The sequence below is a fragment of the Homo sapiens genome, chromosome 15 (assembly GCF_000001405.40).
Source record: "Homo sapiens chromosome 15, GRCh38.p14 Primary Assembly".
NCBI lineage: Eukaryota > Metazoa > Chordata > Mammalia > Primates > Hominidae > Homo > Homo sapiens.
The window spans coordinates 56,155,546-56,179,195 of record NC_000015.10 but is presented as its reverse complement, the minus strand read 5'-3'; the positions used below and the strand labels follow the sequence as shown (position 1 = coordinate 56,179,195).

At 36.4% G+C, this 23,650-nt stretch overlaps 1 protein-coding gene and 1 long non-coding RNA gene across 10 annotated transcripts in view; one reads left to right on the top strand and one right to left on the bottom strand.

Moving 5' to 3' along the window:
- Positions 1 to 23,650, top strand: part of RFX7 (regulatory factor X7) — a 157,803-nt gene that overhangs the window by 65,887 nt on the left and 68,266 nt on the right. Inside the window, exon 3 of one of the 9 annotated variants that reach the window (XM_047432950.1) lies at positions 63 to 18,480. The exons of the other annotated variants lie outside the window; for them this stretch is intronic. The gene's annotated coding sequence lies outside the window, so the exon portion shown is untranslated. The remainder of the gene's footprint in view (positions 1 to 62; positions 18,481 to 23,650) is intronic. 9 annotated transcript variants of the gene reach the window in all.
- LOC124903498 (uncharacterized) overlaps positions 16,662 to 23,650 on the bottom strand; it is a 13,130-nt gene continuing 6,141 nt past the window's right edge. The window contains exon 2 of the long non-coding RNA XR_007064648.1: positions 16,662 to 22,680. This is a non-coding gene — a long non-coding RNA (uncharacterized LOC124903498). The remainder of the gene's footprint in view (positions 22,681 to 23,650) is intronic.

The window sequence follows — 23,650 nt, the reverse complement described above, 5'->3', positions numbered from 1 at the left end:
GTAAATATTGATTTTAAATATAATCTAACTCCAGTGAATAAAATTTGATATTTTAATTACAGCCCCCTCGGGTGAATTGTTTATAAGCTACCTAGATACTTACCTGTATCTCATCAATAATAAAATCACAATCTGAGGTAATTACATGTTTTTGAATCTTAACTGGCTCTTACTGAAAGACTGCTTAAACGAACAATTAAATTGGATATTTATTTTTCTATTCTAATAACTCTGAGAATTTGTTTAGAGAAAAGTTTTTGAAGATGTTTAATGGGTTAGTTTTGTTGAGATAGTGTGTTTTTCATGTTTTGGTTGGCAGCCTGTAGGAATTAAGCCATAATAATAGTTTAAGTTTAGATTCTACTTAATAGAATTGTAAAAATTTGTTTTCAAAAACAGCTTTTAAGATGCTTAGTGGATTAGTTTTTGTGGGGTTGCCAGCTTTCAAGATTTAAAGCCACAATAATAGTTTAAATTTAGATTGTGTTAGTATAGTAGTAGTTTCATAGGTCTTCTTTTAAACGTGTGAGGGAAGGAGCATTGCAGCTACTGGGACATCTGGAATACTGCTGATTTCTTTCATAAAATCTCTACCAAAAGGATAGCCTCTAGGCTTTAGAACACACGAAGGCTCTATACTGTTAGATTCCCCAAATTGTCAGTATAGTTAGTTCTCTTTCCCCACTTGTGACTTGGGAAGTTCTCTTATCCAAGTTTGGGTCTTGCTTATAAGCTAACCTGACTATGTTGTTGTTGGTGGTGGTGGTGGTCTGTTACAGTGTCTGGTGCTGAAATAGTATGATGTCTTATTAGCTTATATTATTATTAGCTTATTATTCTATAGGTAGCTGAATACATAGGAATAGTTTATAGGAGAAGAGGAAATTTAATCAGTTCTCTTACACTTTTCTAACCTAATAGCTAGCTAAAAGAGGACTTTGTGGAGGTGTTTTTCTTTTTCCTTTCATTTACTCTTCTTTTTGTTGTGTGTGTGTGTGTGTGTGTGTGTGTGTGTGTGTGTGTGTGTGTAGTTTTTTGGTTTTCGAGTTTTTTTTTTTGTCTTATAATAATCCTCTGAAGTAGGTAATCTTGTTACCTCCCTTTTACAAATGAAGACACCAATGCTCTTGCATTTCATTCAAAAAATTATTAAAATTATTGGACATCTTCTGTCTGCCAGTTTTACTCATAAGGAATACAAAACAGAAAAGACATATTCCATGCCCTTAAGAAATTTAGTCTGTTATAGAGAGATATATTCAAGACTACTCTTAAGACCTAGAAAAGTGGTGACTGGGAGTGGAGGGAGTAATACATTGCCACCAACCCCCAGAGCATTTCCTCTGTCTTCCAACTCTTAAGAGTCTCATTGTTAATGTGTCATTCTGTAATTATTTCATGTTTATCATATACTAGACCCTGTTCTTGGTACGAGAGTACAGTGGTAAGCAAGACAGACACAGTTCTTGTCTATATATGGCCACCCACTCTCTTTGCAATACTTGAGATAACTTTGGAGGATCACTCACTTTTTTCTCTTCATTAAGAAGAGGTAGAAGACTGGTATAAATTATAAAATATGACACTTATAAAATACTAAATAAGAACAAAGTTCTTTTTAAAGTCTTTTAAGAGTTCAGAAATGTTTACATTTTAGTCTAAGTTTTAGAATATATGTAAATTTTTACTCAGTAATTAAAAAATATTGTGTTAGGTCCTGGACATACAGTGATGAACAAGATACTAAGATCTCTCCTCTCATGATCCTTTTATTTTATTGGGTGAGGTAGACATTAAACAAGTGACTAAATAATTAAGCATTACAATTCAGATAACGATAAATGATACTCCACAATTTTTAAAAGGGAAAGGGAGGCAAGTGATGGTGGGTAGGGTAACCTTAGATAGGGTGGCCAGGAAAAGCTTCTCTGAGAATCTTCTCTGAGGAGATGACATTTGAGTGCCGACCTGAGTAATAAGAAGCCAGCTTGAGTCATGATCTCCTGGTGACACACATGAGGTAGAAGGAACAGTAGGTACAAAAAATCTGAAGCTGGGAATGAGTTTGCGGTATTTGAAGAATACAGGATCCCAGTATGCTGGAACTTACGGAAGGAAGTAGAGAATGATAGAAAAGTTCAAGCAGGAAGTAGTTCATGTATTACATATTTAGTCATGGCAAGTAGTATCCTAAGTGCATGAAAGCTGATGAGAGGATTTTATGCAGAGAATAGTGCAATCTGTTTTTTTTTTTTTAATACCCTGGCTGTTGTTGGAACAGTGGATTGTAGGGGGATATGAGTAAAAGCAGGAAAATTAGTTAGGCTATTGCAGAAGTTCAGTAGATAATTCAAGGCTCTTGCTCAGATGATGGCAATGGAAGATTTTTTTTTGTAAGTAGATGGATTTAAGGCATTTTTGGATATAAAACTAGTAGGCCTTGCTTGCTGATAGATTCAATGTGGAGGGGAAACAGAGGAATCAAGGATGATTCCTTTCAGTCTAAAGCAGTTCTTCTAGTATTTATTATACCACAGGTTTGTGTGTAATGAATTTTCTCAGTCTGTGTTTATCTATGAATGTCTTTATTTTGCCTTCTGCTTTAAAAGATGGTTTTGCTGGAAATAGAATGTCTGGTTTACAGTTTTGTTTGCTTGTTTTTTCTTTCATTGTTTTGAATATGTTAATCCATTACATTTTGGACATCAGCCATTAATTATATTAATGTCTGCCTGTACGTAAGTTTTCTTTTGTTGGTATTAAGATTTATCCTAGATTGATTCTGTCACTCATTCACTTCTCCTGTCTCTCTGACTTTTAACAGTTTGACTACGTATATAGTGGATCACTTCATGTTTGTCCTACTTGGGCTTTGTTGAGCTCACATAGATTAGTTAGGTTTGGGATGTTTTCAGCCATTATCTTTCCAAATACTTTTTCAGTCCCTTGATTCTCTCCTCCCCTTCTAAAATGCCCATTTCACGTATGTTGAAATGATTGATGTTATTATTCTCTTCTCTCTGAAGCTCTATTTACTTTTTTCTCTGATTATCTTTATTTGTGCTCTAGTTTCTCTATTAAGATTTCCTGTTGTCTGATTCTTTGTCATTGTGTTTTTCTTTGCGTGTTTAAACACAGGCTGCCTCATCCTAGCAACACTACTATTTTAACCATGTGGGATAGGTCATGGCAGCAGCCATAAGCAAGAATAATAGACTCTCATAGTTACTACTACCTAAAGTTCAGTAGTCACTAATGACTAAACACTTCCCAATATGTTGTTTGCCTGTAGTTAGTTTCCAGAGCCTAGTTTCTGACCATTTTGTGTCATTTTATACTTGTTTGTAGGGAGGATTGGCCAGCCTCTTTACTTCCTTTTCCAGATATCTCAATCTTCTCATAAAGATTTTATTAGGTTTTCTTCTAGAAGTTTTATAGTTGTAGTGTTTTTCTTTTAGATGTTTGAACCATTTTGTGTTAAATTTGTGTTTGCTTTAAGTTGAACTTCAAGGTTTATTTTTTACAATATGGATGGATATCCAGTTGTCCAGTACCATTTATTGAAAAGTCTGCCTCTCCCCAGTCACTTCCTATATCAAAAATCATTATATGTGGGTGTTTTTCTAGGCTCTTATTTTCCATTGATTGCTGTGTCTGCCTTTATGACATCACTACACTGTCTTGTTTACTGTGCTTTATAGAAAGTCTTGATATCAGATATATAAATGGTTCATATATTTTTTGGCATTTCCATACAAATTTCAGAGTTACTTTGTCAATTTTTATTTTTAAAAAAAGTTCTACTTGGATTTTTATTGGGATTACATCAAATTTATAGATCAATTTGGACACAATTGATGTCTTATTAACAAATTTTAATTCATGAGCTTGGTGTATCTCCATTTCAGTTGGTTCTTCTATAATATCTTTCAGCGTGTTTTGTTATTTTCTGTGTATAGGTTTTGTACACATTTTATTAAAACTAAAAGTTTTTAGATGCTACTGAGTATGGCATTTAAAAATTTTTGTTATCCATTGTTTTATTGCTAATAGTTATAGTGATCTTGTAACCTGCAAACTTGCTACATTCACCTATTAAATCTAGTAGCTTTTATGTAGTCTTTAGGATTTTCTACCCACTCAATCATATTATCTACGAATAAAAAGAGTTTTAATTTCTTGTTAATTTATATGCCAATTTCTTTTTCTCACCTTATTGTACTGCTAGGACCTCTGGGAGATAGGCTAATAGAAATGTGAGAGTGAATTTCCTTGCCTTGTTCCGGATCTTAAGGAAAAAACAGTGATTCATTCACCATACAATATGAAGTTAACATTAGCTTGTTCATGGACGCTCTTCATCAGGTTAAACATGTTACTTTCTGTTTCTATTTTGCTAAGAGTTTTTTTTTTAAAATCATAGTTACTTGCTGATTTTTTTATTTTTCTTAGACGGAGTCTGGCTCTATCAACCAGGCTTTAGTGCAGTGGTGCAATCTCGGCTCACTGCAACTTCTGTCTCCCAGGTTCAAGCGATTCTCCTTCCTCAGCCTCCCGAGTAGCTGGGACTACAGGCATGCACCGCCGTGTCCAACTAATTTTTGTATTTTTAGTAGAGACAGGGTTTCACCATGTTGTCCAGGATGGTCTCGATCTCTTGACCTCATGGTCTGCCTACCTTCGCCTCCCAAAGTGCTTTGAGATGGGATTACAGGTATGAGCAACCGTGCCCAGCCACATGCTGATTTTTATCCAACAATTTTTCTATACTTACTAATAGTTTGTTTCTCTATTATCACTTTTCTTATTCTTTTCCCCTGAACTATCTAATCTGCTATAAATCCCATCTAATAAATTTTCTCTTCTAGATCTTATATTTTTTTCAGTTCTAGAAATTCAACTTTTTGGGTTTTTTTTGAGACAGAGTTTCACTTTTGTTGCCCAGGCTGGAGTGCAGTGGCACAATCTCAGCTCACTGCAACCTCCGCCTCTTGAATTCAAGTGATTCTCCTGCCTCAGCCTCCCAAGTAGCTGGGATTATAGGCGCTCACCACCATACCCGGCTTATTTTTGTATTTTTAGTAGAGACGGGGTTTCACCATGTTGGCCAGACTGGTCTCGGACTCGTGACCTCAGGTGATGCACCCACCTCAGCCTCCCAAAGTGCTGGGATTACAGGTGTGAGCGAAATTCCACTTTTTTATAGAAGTTTTTATATCCTCCATTTTGTTTCTGTCTTAAATACCTGTCCTAAATTCCTTGACTGCTAATTGTAGTATCTCTATCATTTGTTTATCATTTTCTCTATCATCTTATCATTTTGTTTCTGTCTTAAATACCTGTCTTAAATTCCTTGATTGCTAATTGTATTATCTCTATCATTTTTGTGGTCCCTTTTTTTTGAGATGGAGTTTCACTCTTGTTGTCCGGGCTGCAATGCATTTCAGAACCACAGCTCACTGCAACCTCTGCTGCCTGGGTTCAAGCGATTCTCCTGCCTCAACCTCCGGAGTAGCCTCCAGAGTAGCTGGGATTACAGGTATCCGCCACTACACCCAGCTAATTTTTTGTAGTTTTAGTAGAGACAGGGTTTCACCATGTTGGCCAGGCTGGTCTCGAACTCCTGACCTCATCTGATCCACTTGCCGTGGCTTCCCAAACTGTTGGGATTACAGGCGTAAGCCACTGTGTCCGGCCTGTGGTCCATTTTATTTACTGATTTTCGTTGCAATTACAGGTCATAATTTTCTGCTTCTTTGCATATGTAATACTTTTTAATTTAGTGCTGAACACTGATTTTTATGGTTTTTGAGCATTTGAGTTTTCTTCTCTTCCTTTGAAGTGTATTGAAGTTTGTTCTTCTCTTCCTTTAAAGTGTATTGAAGTTTGTTTCAGCAGAACTGGAACATGTGTCAGCCACTTGTAGATCCCTGGTAGCTCTTTGCCCAGCCTTTTGGAGTTTTTATCTACATATATACAGTTTAGTTTTCAGCTATAGATTCCAAATTCCAAATCTACATAGGGATTTGTGTAAATTTTGAAGCTGTTTATTTTTCTTCCATATGATTCTTTGCCACCTCGAACACTAACCTCCTTCTCTTTAGCTCTGCAGTACTGCCTTGCTTTGCTTAAGTTGCTTCTTTCTGCACGACAGTCAAGTTGTCTTCAGATAGAATCGTCTCATTTGTTTTTTTCTTTTTCAGGTCTAACAGTCTATGCTTTTTGTTGTCCAATTTCTGAAAACACTTGTTTCTGATATTTTGTTCATGTTTTGAGATGGTGGTGCTGGGAGAGTTGCTGCAGTATCAGGTACTCCACTGCGGCCACATGCAGAAGTCTATTAACAGCTATTTTAAGGATTCAATAAAATATATAGGCCCCTTCACACCCTCTTTTTCTTTAGTGATTTATTTTCCACTATTCTCCACTAAACCTGTTTCAGACTTCTTTAGCTCAAGCTACTAAACTCGCCTCTTCTTTTCTTGCTGCCGGTAAATGATCTTGCCTTCTACTTCTCTGAGAAAATAGGAAGTTGCCTTGTGGTACTCCACCAAATTAATACATTTCTTGTCCCTAACTTAATACTTGCTCAATTCTATACCTGTTCTTGTCTTCTTTCCCTTATCTCTCAACAGAAGAGTTGTCCTTCTGCCTGTCTGAATGCTGATCTCTCTCTGCCTACCCTCTAGGTCTCATCCATTCCTATCTCAGAATTCATGTTATGATTCATTCTCTTTCTCCTACTTCTTTATTTTCTTATTTTTTACTAGCCTATTCTCATGAATAGTTAAATGCTTAATTTTACCCCCATATTTAAAAAAGAAATCCTTCCTGAAACCCACAACCTTTCCTCTAGCTACCACTGTATCTTCTTCCCTTTGAAAGAAGAAAGTCAAAGTTTAGTCAAAGTGTTGATTGAATTAGTCTCATGCCTCACCTTCCATTCAGTTTTGAACCCCAGTAACAAAAATCTTTAATACCACTCCTCTGAAACTTTTATAAAGGATACCATGACCCCTCACTGCTGAATATAATAGGTAATATCACTTCCAAATGACAGCCTTTTTTCAGTTCACTCTGTTGACCATTTCCATACACACACTACCCCCTCATCCCCCCAGTTTGGTACATTCTCATTTTTAAAATTCCTTAAGATGTCACACTATCCTGGTTTTCCTGTTACATTTTAGGCCGTTCCTTCTCACACCCTTCAAGGGTGTCTGTTGCTTTGCATTTTGTCTATATTTGTCCAAAATAATCTCATCTACTTTGATGGTTTCAATTAGTCTCATTATACCAATGACTCCTAATTATATGTCCCCATCCTAAGCTCTAGGCCCATATAATCCAACTCTTTATCAGCTGATCAGTTTTACCTGGATGTCACATAAGTACTTCAAACTCAACTTTTCCAGAGCCAAACTTGTATCATACCCCCACTTCTATAACTATCTGTATTAGTCTCCTATTGCTGCTATAACAAATTAACATACATTTAGAGGCTGCATAAAATAACACAAATTGATTATTTTAGACTTCTGTGTGCCAGCAGTCTGACATGGGTTTCACGGGGATAAAACTAAGTTGTTAGCAGTGCCATGGGTTTTTTGTTTTGTTTTGTTTTGTTTTTTTTCTGGAGACCCTAGGGAAGAATATGTTTCCTTGCCTTTTTTAGCTTCCAGTAGCTGCATCTTCAAAGCCATTAATGGCTGCTTGAGCCTTTTTACATTGCATCATTCTGACAGGGCTCTTTTTTGTAGTCAAATCTCTTTCAGCCTCGCTTTTATCAGGATACCTGAGTATACATTGATCCTACTCAGGGAAGCCAAGATAATCTCCCCATCTTAAGGTCCTTGATTTGGTCCCATGCCATGCAAATTTCCAGGGGTTCAAAGATTAAGACATGAACATTTCTGGGGTCATTATCCTATCATACTATCTTAGTGAATGGTACTCACTCATGTAACCTAAAAACCTAGAGGTCAGTCTTGACTCTTCCTCAGCCTGCTTTACAACTAGTCAGTCACCAGATCCTATCAGTTCTGACTCCTTGGTTGCTCTATTTTTGTGTATTCCTACTGCTACTGCATTAATCCAGATCATAATTATTTGAGATACTGCAACTCTTTTTCTGCTTCTAGTCTTTCCACATTCGTTCTCCACACTATCATCATAGTCGTCTTTATAAAGTTCTGTTTATTTCACACCTTTGCTTAAAACCTTTCATTGGCTCCCCATTGTTCTGCCTTATGGTGTGGAAGATTCTTCATACTCAGACCTTACCTTTTTTGTCCAACCTCATCTTTCTCCACTCTCCCCACAGCCTATCAGCAAACTGTGGAATAGAAGACAATATTTACTCCCTCAATCTGTAAGAGCATTATCCATGGAACTTTCTGTGGTGGTAGAAATGTTTTATATCATATATGCACTATTCAATATGGTAATCAGTAGCCATGTGTGGCTACCGAATACTTGAAATGTGGTTAGTGTGACTGAGGAATTGAACTTTTAATTTTGTTTAATTTTAATGAATTTGAAGTTAAATAGCCACATGTGGCTAGTGGTAATGATTTAGACAACAGAGATCTCGAACAGTGCTTCTCAACCAGAGGCAATATTTGCCCTCCACGCCCCTAGGGGACATTTGACAATATATGGAGACATTTTGGGTTTTCACACTTGGTGAGTTCTACTGGTATCAGATGGGAAGAGGCCAAGGATGCTGTTTCAGCATCCTCCAAAACAGGATGTCCCCCGCCCCCATAACAGACTTAGCCCAAAAGGTCAGAGTGCTGAGGTTAAGAAACTCTATTCTAGACTGTTCCTTCTTTGTTCGTAACACGTACTTATAGTTTAGGATTCGTCTTAGATATCAACCCCTCTGGAAAGCCTTCTATGATTTCTCAGGTCTGAATTTTATATTTTCTGTTCCATTATATCCTTACCTTATTTGTGTGATACAATAACCTTTATGGTAGTTATAATTGGCATTTTTATTTGGTCTTGGCTTCTTGAGTATAGGAACATATGCATTGGAATATACCCAGAGGCACATGAACGTGATCAATATTTGTTGAATGTATGAACGAATATAAACTAATGAATCAATCATTAAACATACTGCGGTTTAAAATAGAAGTGTTGCCACCTTAAATTTATACCTTTTAGAGATCATACACTTATAAAATATTTGGAAATATTTTTGGGAGTTACTCCTGGTTTGCCAATAAGTAAAGATAACTCATTCCTTTAGAAGGGAAGAACTTTTTTTTTTTTCTGTTTCTGCCATTCTTCCCTTTGCTCCTGCTCTACTTAGTTTAGTATGCCCCTTCCTTCCATACTCACCTGTTAAAAGATAACCAATCCACCCCACTCTCATCCCCAGAGTGCTCGTGGGGAACTAAAACTTTATTGCATAAATGCAGGAAGGATTTGAGCAGGTGAAGTGGGACAAAGAGACTAGAAACTAAAAAAAAAAAAAAAAAAAAAAAAGAACTGACTAGCATTATAGCAGAGTGGCTCAGAGCAGAGGCTATAGAATGAAACAGAACTGAGTTTGAATTCTTGTCCTGCCATTCTTTTCTGAATTCCCATAATTCTAACCTAACTTAGGTGGGTATAAAGAAGGATAATAGTACCTATTCCACTGAGTTGTCATATATATTAAATGAGATAATTAGTGTAAATAAAGTGCATAGCACATAAGCACACATGGCAGCTTTAGTTGAAGGTGTTATATGTGTAAATTCATAATGTGGATCAAAGTGACTTAATTTCCATAAATATATGTTTCTAAGTCTAAACATTAGTCAAGGATTGCATTTTATGTTCATCATCACAGAACTTACTGTTTAAAAATAAATGCTCACCATATGGAATTACTGAGGGCAGAGTATTGAAGTTCTTAAACATAAGCAGGTGGAAGATGGAGAAAGTTTGGAATCACCTGGCTAAAGCCATCCAAGAAACTGGAAGGTGCTTACTGTAGAACACTTCATGCTCCCTCCCTCTCCAGGCCTTTGTAGGTGCTATTCACTTTACCAGCAGTGCTCTTCTTGAGTTTCTTCACTTGCCTAAGTTCTACTCCTTTTGTTGCACTAGCTCAGAAGTTACCATTTTCGGAAATCTTTATCTACTAGGACTATGCATTTATCTGCAGATAATAGAAAATCCTAACTATAGAATGAAACAACTGGTGGCTTAAAGTAGTAAGAATTTGTGTCACCAAATAAAGAGTCCAAAGTTAGGCATTCAAGAGTATTGCAATAACTGCAATGCCACCAGAGTCCTAGTCTCTTTTTTATTTGCTATGTTATCTTTTGTTGTGTCACATCACTGATGGGCTGCTGTACCACTATGCCTTTAGTCCAAAGACTAAGGCAGGAAAAAGGGAAGAAGGGCAAACGGGCTTTCTTCTAGGGAAGCCATCTTTTTATTCAGGACACCTCCTTATATTCAGGAAAACCACTTTAGGAACTTCAACCTCCAGAGTAATGTCAACATGGCTACCCCTACCTGCAAGTGGAACTAGGACATCTTTTGTTTTCTAGTCTAAACCAGAGGAAGAAAAAGAATGTGGTGGTTAGCAACATATGTGTCATGAGACAACATATTAGTCATGCTGTCCAGTGTTAAGGGCCCCAACTTTCTTGTACTCTGTGTATATCCCTATCAAAGCTATTACCATGTACTATGCTATCGCCAGCTTAATTTGTTTTCTTCTCCAGAAATAAGTTTTGGAAGTAAGGGCTGGGACTTATGTCTCTATATCCCTAGTACTTTAACACTGTCTTTTCATGGAAGACACTCAGTAAATATTTACTGGATCGTTATTTACAAACAGTGATTATCAAAAAGTAAGTAAATATGCACATAATATCCCCTAAACAAAGTTTCTTTGTTTTTTATTGTTATTGTTAGTATTTATTAATTACTATGAGGCAGACAAAGGCTTCACATGTTTTATCATTCAGTCCTCATAATTTGCCTGTGAGGTTAATGTGTCATCATTGTCATTTTGCAGATGAAGAAACAGACTCAGACAAGTTTAAGTAATTTACCTAAGGTTTTAAAACTTACTTATTGGTAGAGTTAGACATTTAATTCAGATAATCTGACTTCAGATCCCAGACTTTTAAAAAACTATGCTATATCATGCTTTACAGATTTTCTGAAGTATGAGCTTATAATCAAGAAAATGTTCCTTATTTTTCCAAATAGAAAGTAATCTGAAATGAAAAATTAAAAACTGGACTCATCTTACTGAATTTTGGTAACCAATAATTGTAAACACAGTCTGTTTTTATAAGCAGGTTGTCTGAATGCCATTTTAAAAACTTACAGTGTGCTCACTAAAGTGAAATAGCTACAATAATGTTAGATATTTAAGTTGATTCCAATTATGAAGACAATATGAAATCTACTAGAAGTAAAAAATATAAAGTACTTTTCTAGTTTTAAAGCTATGAAAAAATTTATCTGTTTATTGGTAAAGACAAATGAAAATATTTGTAGTAGCATAAATATGAATAGATTTTTTTGTTAATGTTTTAGTGCTTTTGCAGTGAAAATGTAATTTTTAACAATAAGCAGCATATCTTAAACTAAATTTCTTATTTGAGTTGTAACATTTTTAGATGTATAATGTCATAATACACTTGTAAAGCTGATCCAGTTACATTTTTCATAATTAGTTTACTAGTGAGGGTAATATTTTACCCTTGATATATCCAACACCAGAGCATTATTAGCTAAACCCAGCTGAGTGTAAGTTTCTCAGTCTATATTACCGAGTCCCCTTATTTTACTTCAGTTACGTTGGTCTATCGGAGAGGTATAGTTAGGGACTAAAATGTAAGAGAAATAACTTTTTTTTTCCTTGAGACATCGTCTCACTCTGTCACCCAGTTTGGAGTGCAGTGCCATGATCATAGCTCACTGCAGCCTCAAATTCCTGAGCTCAACTCAAGTGATCCTTCTGCCTCAGCCTCCTGAGAAGCTGGGACTATAGGTGCACACCACCAAACCCGGCAAAAAAAATTTTGTTTTTTTGTATGGATGAGGTTTCATTATGTTGCCAAGGCTGGTCTTGAATCAACTCCTGGCCTCAAGTGATCCTCCTGCCTCAGCCTCCCATGAGAAAGAATTCTTAACATGTGGTGTACAAAAGGCCTAGTCTGCTGAGAGTCAACCAAAGGAGGATGGGAAATAGTAATCCAGTGTTTCCCAAAATATGCTCCTTGGAATAGTAATTCCATAAAATAGGAATATGTTATGCAAAAGGTTCCGTAACCAGGCATGGTAGCTGTCGCCCCAGCTACTCAGGCTGGGTGGATTACTTGAGCTCAGGAGTTCCAGACTGCAGGAGCTACAATTGTGCCGCCACAGTACAGTCTGGGTGACAGAGCAAGACCCCATCTCTTTAAACCAAAAAAAAAAGTTCCATAGTCAAGTATGTTTATGAAATCAATTAAAAGATGTCTTAAATGCTTTATCAGCTGCTACATGTCATCAACCTTATTTGTGCAGTATGTTCCAAAATTTTTTTGCTCTGAATTCCTCTTCACCCTTTTCCTCATACAACTTCTCATGAAACTGGTGTTATGAAACACAATATTTATGAAATAGTAAGGTCTATAGGGCAAGTTTCTAGCATAGAAAGAGAAATTACTTTTTACATATTATTCATAAGTAACAGGATGTTGAGAACTTCCTGTTTATATTACTGCCTTCAGGTGTGTATACCAACAGGAAGCAGTCTCCCAACTAATTCTAATGTTTGGGTCCCCTAAATTGACTAGTTTTGCTTTGGAGTTATTAGAAAAAATAAAGGTTAAGAGGGCTATATATTTTGGTTCCCTTTAGCAAGGCTAATGTAAAATTAAATAACATTTAGCTTGCCAGGAATTCAGCTGAAAACAAGAGAGAAGTATTTCTATCTCATGGATTCAGTAATTCAACGCAATCCTAGTAAGATTTTAGAAGAGTAGACAACCTAGGCTGGTTGCCGTGGCTCATGCCTGTAATCCCAACACTTTCCGAGGCAGGAGAATCCCTTGAGCCCAGGAATTTGAGACTAGCCTGAGCAATATAGGGAGATCCCATCTCTACAAAAAATAAAAAATCAGCTGGGCATGATGGCATGAACATGTATTCTCAGCTGCTTGGGAGGCTGAGGTGGGAATATCTCTTGAGCCCAGGAGGTCAAAGGCTGCAGTGAGCCATGAACGTGCCACTGCACTCCAGCCTGGGTGACAGAATGAGACCCTGTCCTATCACCTGGCTGCAGAGATCAAAGGCTTAAAACCAGGGATAAAAGAGGCTGAGTATTTTAAGTTCATTTAAGTCTGTATTACATACCTTCCAGGAAGAGTGTACCATCTTATTTTCTAGGCTTTCTAACCAGCCAGTGTTCTAAGAAAGCATTTTTATGTTTTGCCAGCTATTTCTAGGTTTAAAAAATGCAGGTAGCCTATATTTTTGGTAACTTAGCATACCCTAGTAAAGCATCTGCTTTACAGGCCATGCTATGCTCAGCACCTGGAAGGCCAAGTAAACTCACCTGGTCAAAAATGGAACGTGTCTAATGAGTTCCTTCTCATTGGTACGTATATGGCTTTCTGAATTAAGTCAGCTCTACTAGGGTAGGGTTTATTCATGAGAACTGACCAAAGGAGGATTTTCTAGGACTGTCATTAGGAGAGAAAATTTGAAAAATGATGTGGGGTTACCAGAATACCTGTTGCTTCTGGAGGATTAAGGGTATTGTCACTTCCTGAAACTAGGTAACAGATGCCATCATTTAGATAATTGTGTAGTGAGTCAGGTTCCTTCCAGGGGAGAAGTCTTAGTGATGTCCTCTTGCAGGGGAATATAGTAAAAAACTTGTAGTTGGTATATTTTAAGTTTTAAACACTGATTATGTAATCCTTTAAAACAGGGGTTCCCCAGGTATGGTTCATGGCCTGTCAGGAACCGGGCCACACAGCAGTAAGTGAGCAGCAGGCGAGCAAGCATTACTGCCTGAGCTCCGCCTCCTGTCAGATCAGCAGCGGCATTAGATTCTTATAGGAGCACAAACCCTATTGTGACCTGAGCATGTGAGGGATCTAGGTTATACGTGCCTTATGAAAATCTAACTAATGCCTAATGGTCTAAGTGGAACAGTTACGTCCCAAAACCATCCCCATAATCCCCACCCCATCCATGGAAAAATTGTCTTCTGTGAAACTGGTCCCTGGTACTGAAAAGCTTGGGGACCATTGCTTTAAAAGACTTTTTCTTTCTACCTTCCAACTCTACTGGCACAGTGTTTGTACTCCTGAGGCAAATGATCAAAATTAACAGCCTAAGCTGTGTTCTCTAAAAACTGTCCTACTTTAGTGAACAGCAAAGCCTATTATGAGATAAACCTTAAGAACCAACTTTCTGGGCACACATGAGTTGTCCATTACAAAAATCTAAAACCTAAAAAAGAAAAAAAATCGCGGCAGAGGTACTAACTACCCCATGTGAAAAATCCAATTTTAGCATAGTTAAAATCAGGCAAAGGAAGGCAGTGCAAGCAGTCTGTTGGTAGGAAGTCTGTTCATGTATCATGGTTATCTGTGTGGAATTTCAGTAGTACCTGAGTTCTCACCAGGATCCTATCTGGGACACTGCAATAGATATTATTTCCCTGGGTATAACCTTCCTAGTCTCATCTCCATCTTGGCTTAATGGAATCTTATTGGTATGGCTTGCTCCATATCTAAGTGCTGTATGTTTCACAGATCTTGGATATTAAAACATATGATTGCTCAGATATAGTCTGGATGGTAATAACAAACAGGTGTGGTCCAGCAAATCAAGCATCTGGTGCTTATGGCCCTGGAAGGAATCAGCTACTGACCCTGTAGATGGACCAGAAGGGCTAAACTTGAGACCCACAGCTAGATCTCTTCCACAAAATTGTTTTGTTTGGCCCACACTGATGTTCTAAAATTTTTGGATTGGTTGCCATATTTTAGAAAGAGGAAAGTTCACAGAAAAACTTAGGTATTTGTTTTCTCTTTTCTCTTGAAAACAGGACACTGAACCCTTGTTTGCGCATGACAGCAGTTGAACCTAAGTAGTGGTTATTCCTTTTAAACATGACATGCACTCTTTAATCCTCTTAGTCCCCACCATGCTTTTACCTCATCAGATTTTTCTTACCTATGTTCTACTGTACTCATGTGCATTACGTGCCTGGCGTTTGAGTTTGTGGCTTTTGTGTTAGATTATTTGGGGGCAAGGTTATTATAAGAGCTATTCTTTACAGGGTTGGGGACCCATAATGGTACATATGAGGATAGATAATGGGAAGAAAGCCTCTGTTTTTATTTCTTAGTAATATGGAGTCTTTACTGTCAGTTCCTGCTTTAGCTGCCATTACAACGGCCAGCCAATAGAAAGCAAAAATAGTATATAACAAAGAATAATGATAACTGTTTTGAGTCTCTGCTATAGATCAGCCACTGTGTAAAACATGTTGCCTTCTCACTTTCCTGTGAGACCATCCTTGATTACTCTATTTTAAATTGTGGTTTAACATACCCTCCCAACACTTTTTCTTCATAGCGTTTATCATCATCATGTAACATATGTTTTACTTTTAAATTTTATTGTATGTCTTCCTGTTACTAAAATATAAGATAGTGCCTAGAGCATAGTAGGCACTTGATGCTAGATGAATATATAAATGAATAATGTTGTTTAATTTTTAAACTTTCCAAGTCTGTCCCATGGTTTAGTGTTTTAAATCAGAAGCCAGTCTTCTTCATTTACTTACTGCTAAAGTGTTCCTGAGAAACAGACCTACTATTAGAATGGGGCCTTCTAAGAGGTGACACACTCCCAGCAATAAATTTGAGTAGTTCACTCCAGTAGTAATTCTTAACAATTACTTTCCTGCCCTCCAGAGATATATGCTGCATCTGTGAGGGGTTATGGATGTGTGGAGTATGCAATTCCAAAAAATTATCTTCTTCCCTTTACAAGAGAAAGCATGCTTTCTCACCTCAAATCCTTGCTTTAATGAATACTAAATGGTGACCAAGGTCAACTCACCGACACAGACTTGATTGAAACTAAAATTTTGTTTGCATTATCTAATTAAAATATATCAAATAAATAAATAACAAAAATTCACCTGTTACTGCTCGAAAAAGGCTCATGGGTAGAAGATCACATTTATTTTGTGATACGGCACTGGAGTTACTGTTAGTAAGATTTATCTCAGAATCTTATTTTTTCTTTCTATTCACTTAGTGGAGAAGAAATAGGCACTTTTCAAAATGAAGAGCATGTCTGTGCAGAATTTACTTGAATGAGAAAACTTGGCAGTGGGGCCAGATTTAAATAGCTTGTTTGGTTTTGTTTAGTATCACAAAAAGAAATAATTTATATAAGGCCATGCCATTTAAAGGATTGTGAACCTTTTACTCTTTCCTTTTTTTACATTAAACACTTGAGTTATTGTATCCTCCTTTAGTATGTGAGAAAAACATGGTTATTAATGTTTTTTTTTTCTCTCCTGTTAGGGACTCGAGTGGACTAAATTGCCACTGAGCCCCAAAAAAATAAGTTCTGGTAACTTTTGTGTTTCATGATTATAAACAATGCTCTAACCATTGTCAGCTAGCTTTCAAATTTATTACATTGTCTCAAAAATATGATGGGAATTTCTCATCATTACCAGAAAGAAATGCAATTTTCATTAATATGTTTATATTCAAAGAATGACATAATACACAAAAGTGTGCTCTGATGGAAACAAATGAATTCTTACAGTATTCTAATTTTTCTATCTTTGCACTTTAAGTCATTTCAAACTTGCAGAAAAGTAAACTCTAGGGGAGAAAAGAAGGAAAGGTTACTAGGAACAGAGAAAACAGAGACTAAAGAATTGACTTTTCCTCTCAATGGCCTACCTGTTTGTTAAGGCTGTAACTTTGTAATCTTGAAGAATCCAGTAGAAATCCAGTTTTTTGAAAGCATTGTGGCAGCTGGACTGTCAAGTACCATCATTTTTTTACATGCTGAAAAAAGTTAAAAACACAGTGACTAGAAAGATCTAAACCTTATCCTTCTTGCTGATACCACCACCCATCCCCACCTGCTAGTAGAACTGTGTGATCTTTTCAAATAGCACACAGAAACATTGATAATAACCTTGGCTTCTCCTGAGTGATTCAGAGTGAATTTAGGGGAATGTTACATGATGATCCTATGATGGTCAGTTTTTGTAGAATTTAACAATGGGAAGATGTGTTCTTAAGATGGCTCTCATTTGAATTCTATTTCAAGGGGACTGAAATATTTTGGCTTTGGTACCCTTTGGCTATTTGAACCATAGTTCCTACTATATGAGTGTTTTAGCAGTATGCCCTTGTCTAAGCATTTCATTTGGTTCTTACTTTGGCACTTATGAAGCCAAAGATACTATGATACTACGGTACTTTCTACCGTGTTATTCATTATCTCAGTTTCAGAGATTCAGCTTCCTTTTTTACTATTAAGTTCTAAAAAATTCATTGTAGTTGTGTTTCTTTCCGGATTTATCTTTTGATTTATCATCAATTTATGAACTCAGTTTCTTTAAAGTATTAAACAGGCAAATATAAATAGCTAAGAAAACCGAAATATATTTTAGAGCACATTCATAAAAATTACCAATGAATGTCCCTACTTTTTTCTTTTATAATGTAATATAATCATTTCTTAGTTTTATGTGCAGAAACTTCTCAATATTAAGCACAGAATCTACTTAGTAATATCTTACATGTCTATCTTGGAGTAAGAATTTGTCAGTGCTAATGTTGCAGCCCCTTGGGGCTTCTTAATATTGGAATTTCTCCAGGCTTGATTATAGTTGAGGGAAGTTCAAAGGGAATTTTTTTATTGTTTAGCTTGTTTTTAGGTTGCAGTAAATTCTCTAGGTCATCCAGCAGGATTAGGAAGAGAAGCATTGTGAGAAACAGGTTTTGGGTTTTGCTGAAATTTGCTTGTCAGCATTGCATCACTTTTCCTTAACTGTTCTCTAAGTACTGATGTCTTTCAAATTGACTCAGATCATACTCCTTATCTTTGAGCAGAATATTTTGAACAGAAAATTAAGCCATTTTCATTTATATACCTAATTCAATAGGTTTATAAATAAAAGGGCAAATCCTCACGATAATACAGTACAGTAAAAATTGCTCTCCCCCTAGAACTGAGAATAGAAAAACAATTTCCTCTTACATTGTTTATAGTAGGTAGCCCTTAAAAGAAAATCACTTATCCCTGCCACCCCCAGTGGTCCTCATAACAAGTTAGGAAACTGAAAATTGCTGAAAATTAAGAATTCTAAGCAACAAGCATGGAAAATAGAGTCCTCATACCTGACCTTTTTCTCTATCTTCCTTACTCAATCCTGTGGAAGAACTGCTGGGGCCTGAGAGAATATAATATCAGGTATGTTGATTGTTTCCATAAATTTAAAGAGGCAACAGAATAAGCTTTATATTTTCTCCCTTTTGATCCTTATACTTTCTCCTTTTTGATCCTTCTGTTAGTGATCTGGTGAAGAAGAGTCCTTTTAGAAACTGCTCCTGAATCAGTGTCGCTTGAGGGGGGAAAAATTAGTATTTCTTTTTGGAGTTTTGTTTTTGAAGCTTAAATCAAGGGCAGACAAATTCAAGCATAATTATTAGTGTATTTATGTTCCCTCCATATATGGTAACTCAACTGAAGAAACAGTTAAACTTGATTATTTAGGTTTCTGGAATTTAAGCTGACTATTCCAAACACAAAGTTAAAACTTAAAAAAAAAAAAAAACTTTTTACTGATACCAATCTGAAAAGAAAAGTTTCATGGACTAATTATGGACATGATACCCTGATTGATCATCTTCCACCAGAACTCATTTATTGTCAACCTGGCCAGTACTTTGGAAGGTGTTTATAAGTCTCAAACAAGCATTTCTGCTAATTCTGGAAATAATGATCCTCAGATATAATTTCACCATCAAGGATTTGCAAGAAAGCTCCTCAGTGAAGTACTAATTGTTATGCTCTTTATAAGCATCAGCCCTTCCCCACTTTTTTAACCTTGCTTAAAAAAACAAAACCAAACAGAATAACATGAGAGGGAAGATTGTCGTTACAGGAAACAAATCACTACAGATTTCAAACAAGGGAAATCACTTTTCATTAACATTTGTGAAGTTGTGGCTTAAACCTGATGCTTCACTTTTTCACAGTGGTCCCTAAAAACAGGAGCAGATCTCTCCATTTAGGCTACTTTTAAATTGAATATTATGCCAATAAATAATGAAAACATAGTTCCTTACCATCTGCTTAAAGGTCTTTAAGTTCTGGTAATAAGACATTTAAAACTCTCTCTGGTTCTCTGTAGTCCATCTGGTATGTATTGACAGTTCAGAAACAGATGTCCGGAGCAAACAGGAACACCGAAAAATTAGTATTTGCAATATAGAATATTGTTTCAGGTATTTCTTTATGACAGAAGAGAAATGAAAAGTTACCCATTTTGTTCCCAGACGAACCTGGAGAAAGTTATTTCTGAACTATTCTGCTTAGATTGATTATTTCTTTCTCTCTAGTAGCACAGCTGTTGTCAGAAATATTTACTAACTTCAATTATATGTCGATAGCTTAGGAAAAAATAGTATCTGCCCTTTTCTGCACTCACCCTAAGGGAAGCCAGTACTTGTGTAACATAATCTTCAATGATGAGTGACCAAGTCTGATGGTCACCTATAAAATCTGGAGGACTCTTGCTCTTGTGGTATTCCAACCAAGTTAGTGGAGATTACCAGGCGAAATACGTCCTGAATTTCTTAAAGATGCCTTACCTACTCCTAAGTTCGTTGAAGCCTTATTCACAGTACCTAAGATACAGAAGCGACCTACGTGTCCATCATCAGATGAATGAATAAAGAAAATGTAATTATACATACACAATGAAGTAGTATTCAGCCTTAAAAGGGGGGAACTTCTGTTATTTACAACAACATGGACTAACCTAGAAGGCATTATACTAAGTGAAATAAGCCAGGCACAGAAAGACAAATAATGCATGATCTCACTTATATATGGAATCGAGAAAGGTTGAACTCACATACATAGAGAGTAAAATGATGCTTACCAGAGACTGGGAGGTGGCAGGGAGGGATATGGGAAGGGGAGATGTTGATCAAAGGGTACACAGTTTTCGTTAGATAGGAAGAATAAGCTGTAGTGCCCTATTGCACAGAATGGTGTCTATTATAACAATAATGTGTTGTATATTTCAGAATTGTGAAAAGAGTTGTTTTTTGGGTTTTGGGGGTGGGTTGTTTTGTTTTGTTGAGACAGGGTCTTGCTCTGTTACCCAGGCTGTAGTGGCACAATCCTGGCTCACTGCAGCTTTGACCTCTGTGGGCTCAAGCAATTGTACCACTTTAGCCTCCCAAGTAGCTGAGACTACAGGTATGCACCACCACACCAGCTAATTTTTGTATTTTTTGTAAAGAAGGGATTTTGCCATATTGCCCAGGGTATGAGAGTAGATTTTAAATGTTTCAGCTACATAAAAAAATATGTGAGGCTGCAGTGATTTGTGATTGTACCACTGCCCTCCAGCCTGGGTGACAGAGTGAGACCCTATCTCTGTAAAAAAAAATTTTTTTCTACTTTAATGTTTTAAATGCCTTACTTTGCCACATCAAATTTTCTATACTTGTTGATAGAATTTGAATTATAAACTCTTCTGCCAAAGATCTGATTTTAAGCAATAACATATTTTTAAAATAATAACATTTACATAACACTACCTATCATAAGTTTTATATCACAAAAATTATGAGCATTTTGTCGCTGTGTTTTATATTTTGAAATTGATACTCAGCTTAAAAAGCTTGCCTAATATTACAAAGCTAATGAGTGGCAAATCTGGAACTCAGATCTGGGTCTTCTAATTCTATATCCTATACCTTACCCACTATAGCTTACTGCTTGATATAGACATCAATTTCAAGTAACAGCTGCTTCATTCATCTATTTTATATATATGTCATATCCTTATTATAGGTCTTATGTAATATGGGTTATTCTTTATTATTAATTTGTCAGTAGGAGACTTGCTTATTAACCTCAGATTTATAAAAGCTTCATCAAAGCTACTTTTATTACTCTGCTAATCAGTTACTGGGTGATATTCTTATATGAGAAGTCTCTATGACATAAGTTCTAGAAGAGTCAGTGAATCATACATTTTGCTGTATGACCATCTTAAGGATAAATTGTTAGGCCGGGCGCAGTGGCTCACGCCTGTAATCCCAGAAATTTGGGAGGCCGAGGCGGGCAGATCATTGAGGTCAGGAGTTCAAGACCAGCCCGACCAACATGGTGAAACCCCATCTCTACTAAAAATACAAAAATTAACTGGGCGTGGTGGCACACGCCTATAATCCCAGCTACTCAGGAGGCTGAGGCAGGAGAATGCTTGAACCTGGGAGGTGGAGGTTGCAGTGAGCCAAGATTGTGCCACTGCACTCCAGCCTGGGCAAGAGAGCAAGACTCCGTCTCAAAAATAAAAATTGTTAGGTTTTTTTCCTAAATTGAATACCAACTCAGAGAAAGACGTTTTCATATGCTGAACATAAAAGTGGCATTCTTTTTCATCTGTAATAAAGAATCCCATGATATAGATGTAGCACAAAAAATCAGTAGAGAAAGTGTGAAATACTCAGTAAGTGATACTGGGACAATTTTTAGTTAGGTCCCTACTTTATATCTTACAGAAAAATAAATTCCAGAGGAATTAAAGGCCCACACATGAAAAACAAAATTTTTAAACTTTAAAAAGAAAATATAGGATACTATCTTTATGACACTGAAATAGGGGAAAATTTCAAAAACAAAAGACCAAAAGCTCAGATTATGAATGAAAAGATTGATAGATTTGACTGCCTGGAAATGACAAACTTCGATATCACAAGACTTCAAAAACAAAGTGAATAGACAGGCTACAACTAGGAGAAGATATTAGCAGCACTTTCAACCACTAGAGGATTAGTATCCAGACTGCCTGATAAATATCCGCATATTTAGATGAGTAAAAGAAATGAACGGGCAGTTCCTTGAACATTGTGGTTCTCCAAGTGTAATCCTCTGACCAGCATTAGCAGCATCTCCTAGGTGCTTGTTAGAAGTCCAGATTTTCAGGTCCCCACTTGAGACCTACTGAATCAGAAACTCTGGAAGTGGGGTCATGCACTCTTTGTTTTAACAAGCTCACTAAGTGAATCTGGTGCATATTAAAATTTTAGAGCTACTCTGTTAAACTCAAATGATAAATAATATGAAAAGATTCAGTCTCATCATCAATCAGAGAAGTATAAAACAATTAGATACTTTTTCATACCCATAAGATTAGCTAAACTTTAAAACTTAAGTTTTAACAAGAATCTGGAGAAATAAACTGTAGTATTGCTATTAGGAACATAAATTGGTATAAGTTTTAGAGAGCAATTTGAAAATATCCAATAAGGTTGACTATATACATTCTTTGTTACCAGACACTTGTACTTTTAAGTTACATACCTTAGGAAAAAACTCTCACACAAGGCCACAAGAGTCACAAATAAAGGATTTCCATTACAGCACCATCTGAAATAGTGAAACTTTGTTATAACATATTGTCTATCAGTAGAGACATGAACAAACTGTGGTTTTGTTTCATAGAATACTATTTCTATATGCTGTTAAATAGATTAAGTCCAAGATCAGAAGCAAACATGCCAAAAGGTTAGCATCTTGTAAATGTGGACATTGATGCATGCATGTGCACATTCTCTACTGTGTTTGAAATACTTTGTAGTTTTAATTTTTAAAAATTAAATGAGATATTAAAATATTGAAAGAGTTTCCATTTGGCTGTGTCTTATCTTTCAGGATTCTGCCTCAAAGGTGGATTTAGTTTGGACAAACCAGGATCATTATAGTTGAGGGTCGTAACCAGACACTGGAAAACATTTTTTAAAACAATCAGTAAATGCAGATTAATTGAAGATAAGCTGCATACTTTCCTGAGTAAATGCTACGTACGGCCCAAAGTAGAGGAACAGATTGGCATATTGCAGGTTCATGTGTAGTAAACTTATTAGAGCTGACTTTTTAACCAGTTTTTGGATTTTTTTAAAAGTAAAAGTTAACTGGAAGAGAGCATGAAGGCTGTATATTCTAAACTGGTGCTTATAAACCATTTTTTGCCCATACCCCATTCTGATAAATGTAATTATATTCTTGGTTAATATCATTTGAAATTCAAAATAAGTTAAATACTAATCTAAAAAATGAATGAATGAAAGCCTTTTTTATTATGGGGAGGAGACTTTTTCTTGTTTCCACATTTTTTTAAATATACTTTTTAAGTTCTGGGTTACATGTGCAGAACGTGCAGTTTTGTTACATAGGTATTCATGTGCCCTAGTGCTTTGCTGTACCTATCAACCCGTCACCTACATTAGGTGTTTCTCCTAATGTTATCCCTCCCCTAGCCCCACACCCGCCGACGGGCCCCAGTGTGTGATGTTCCCCTCCCTGTGTCCATGTGTTCTCATTGTTCAACTCCCACTTA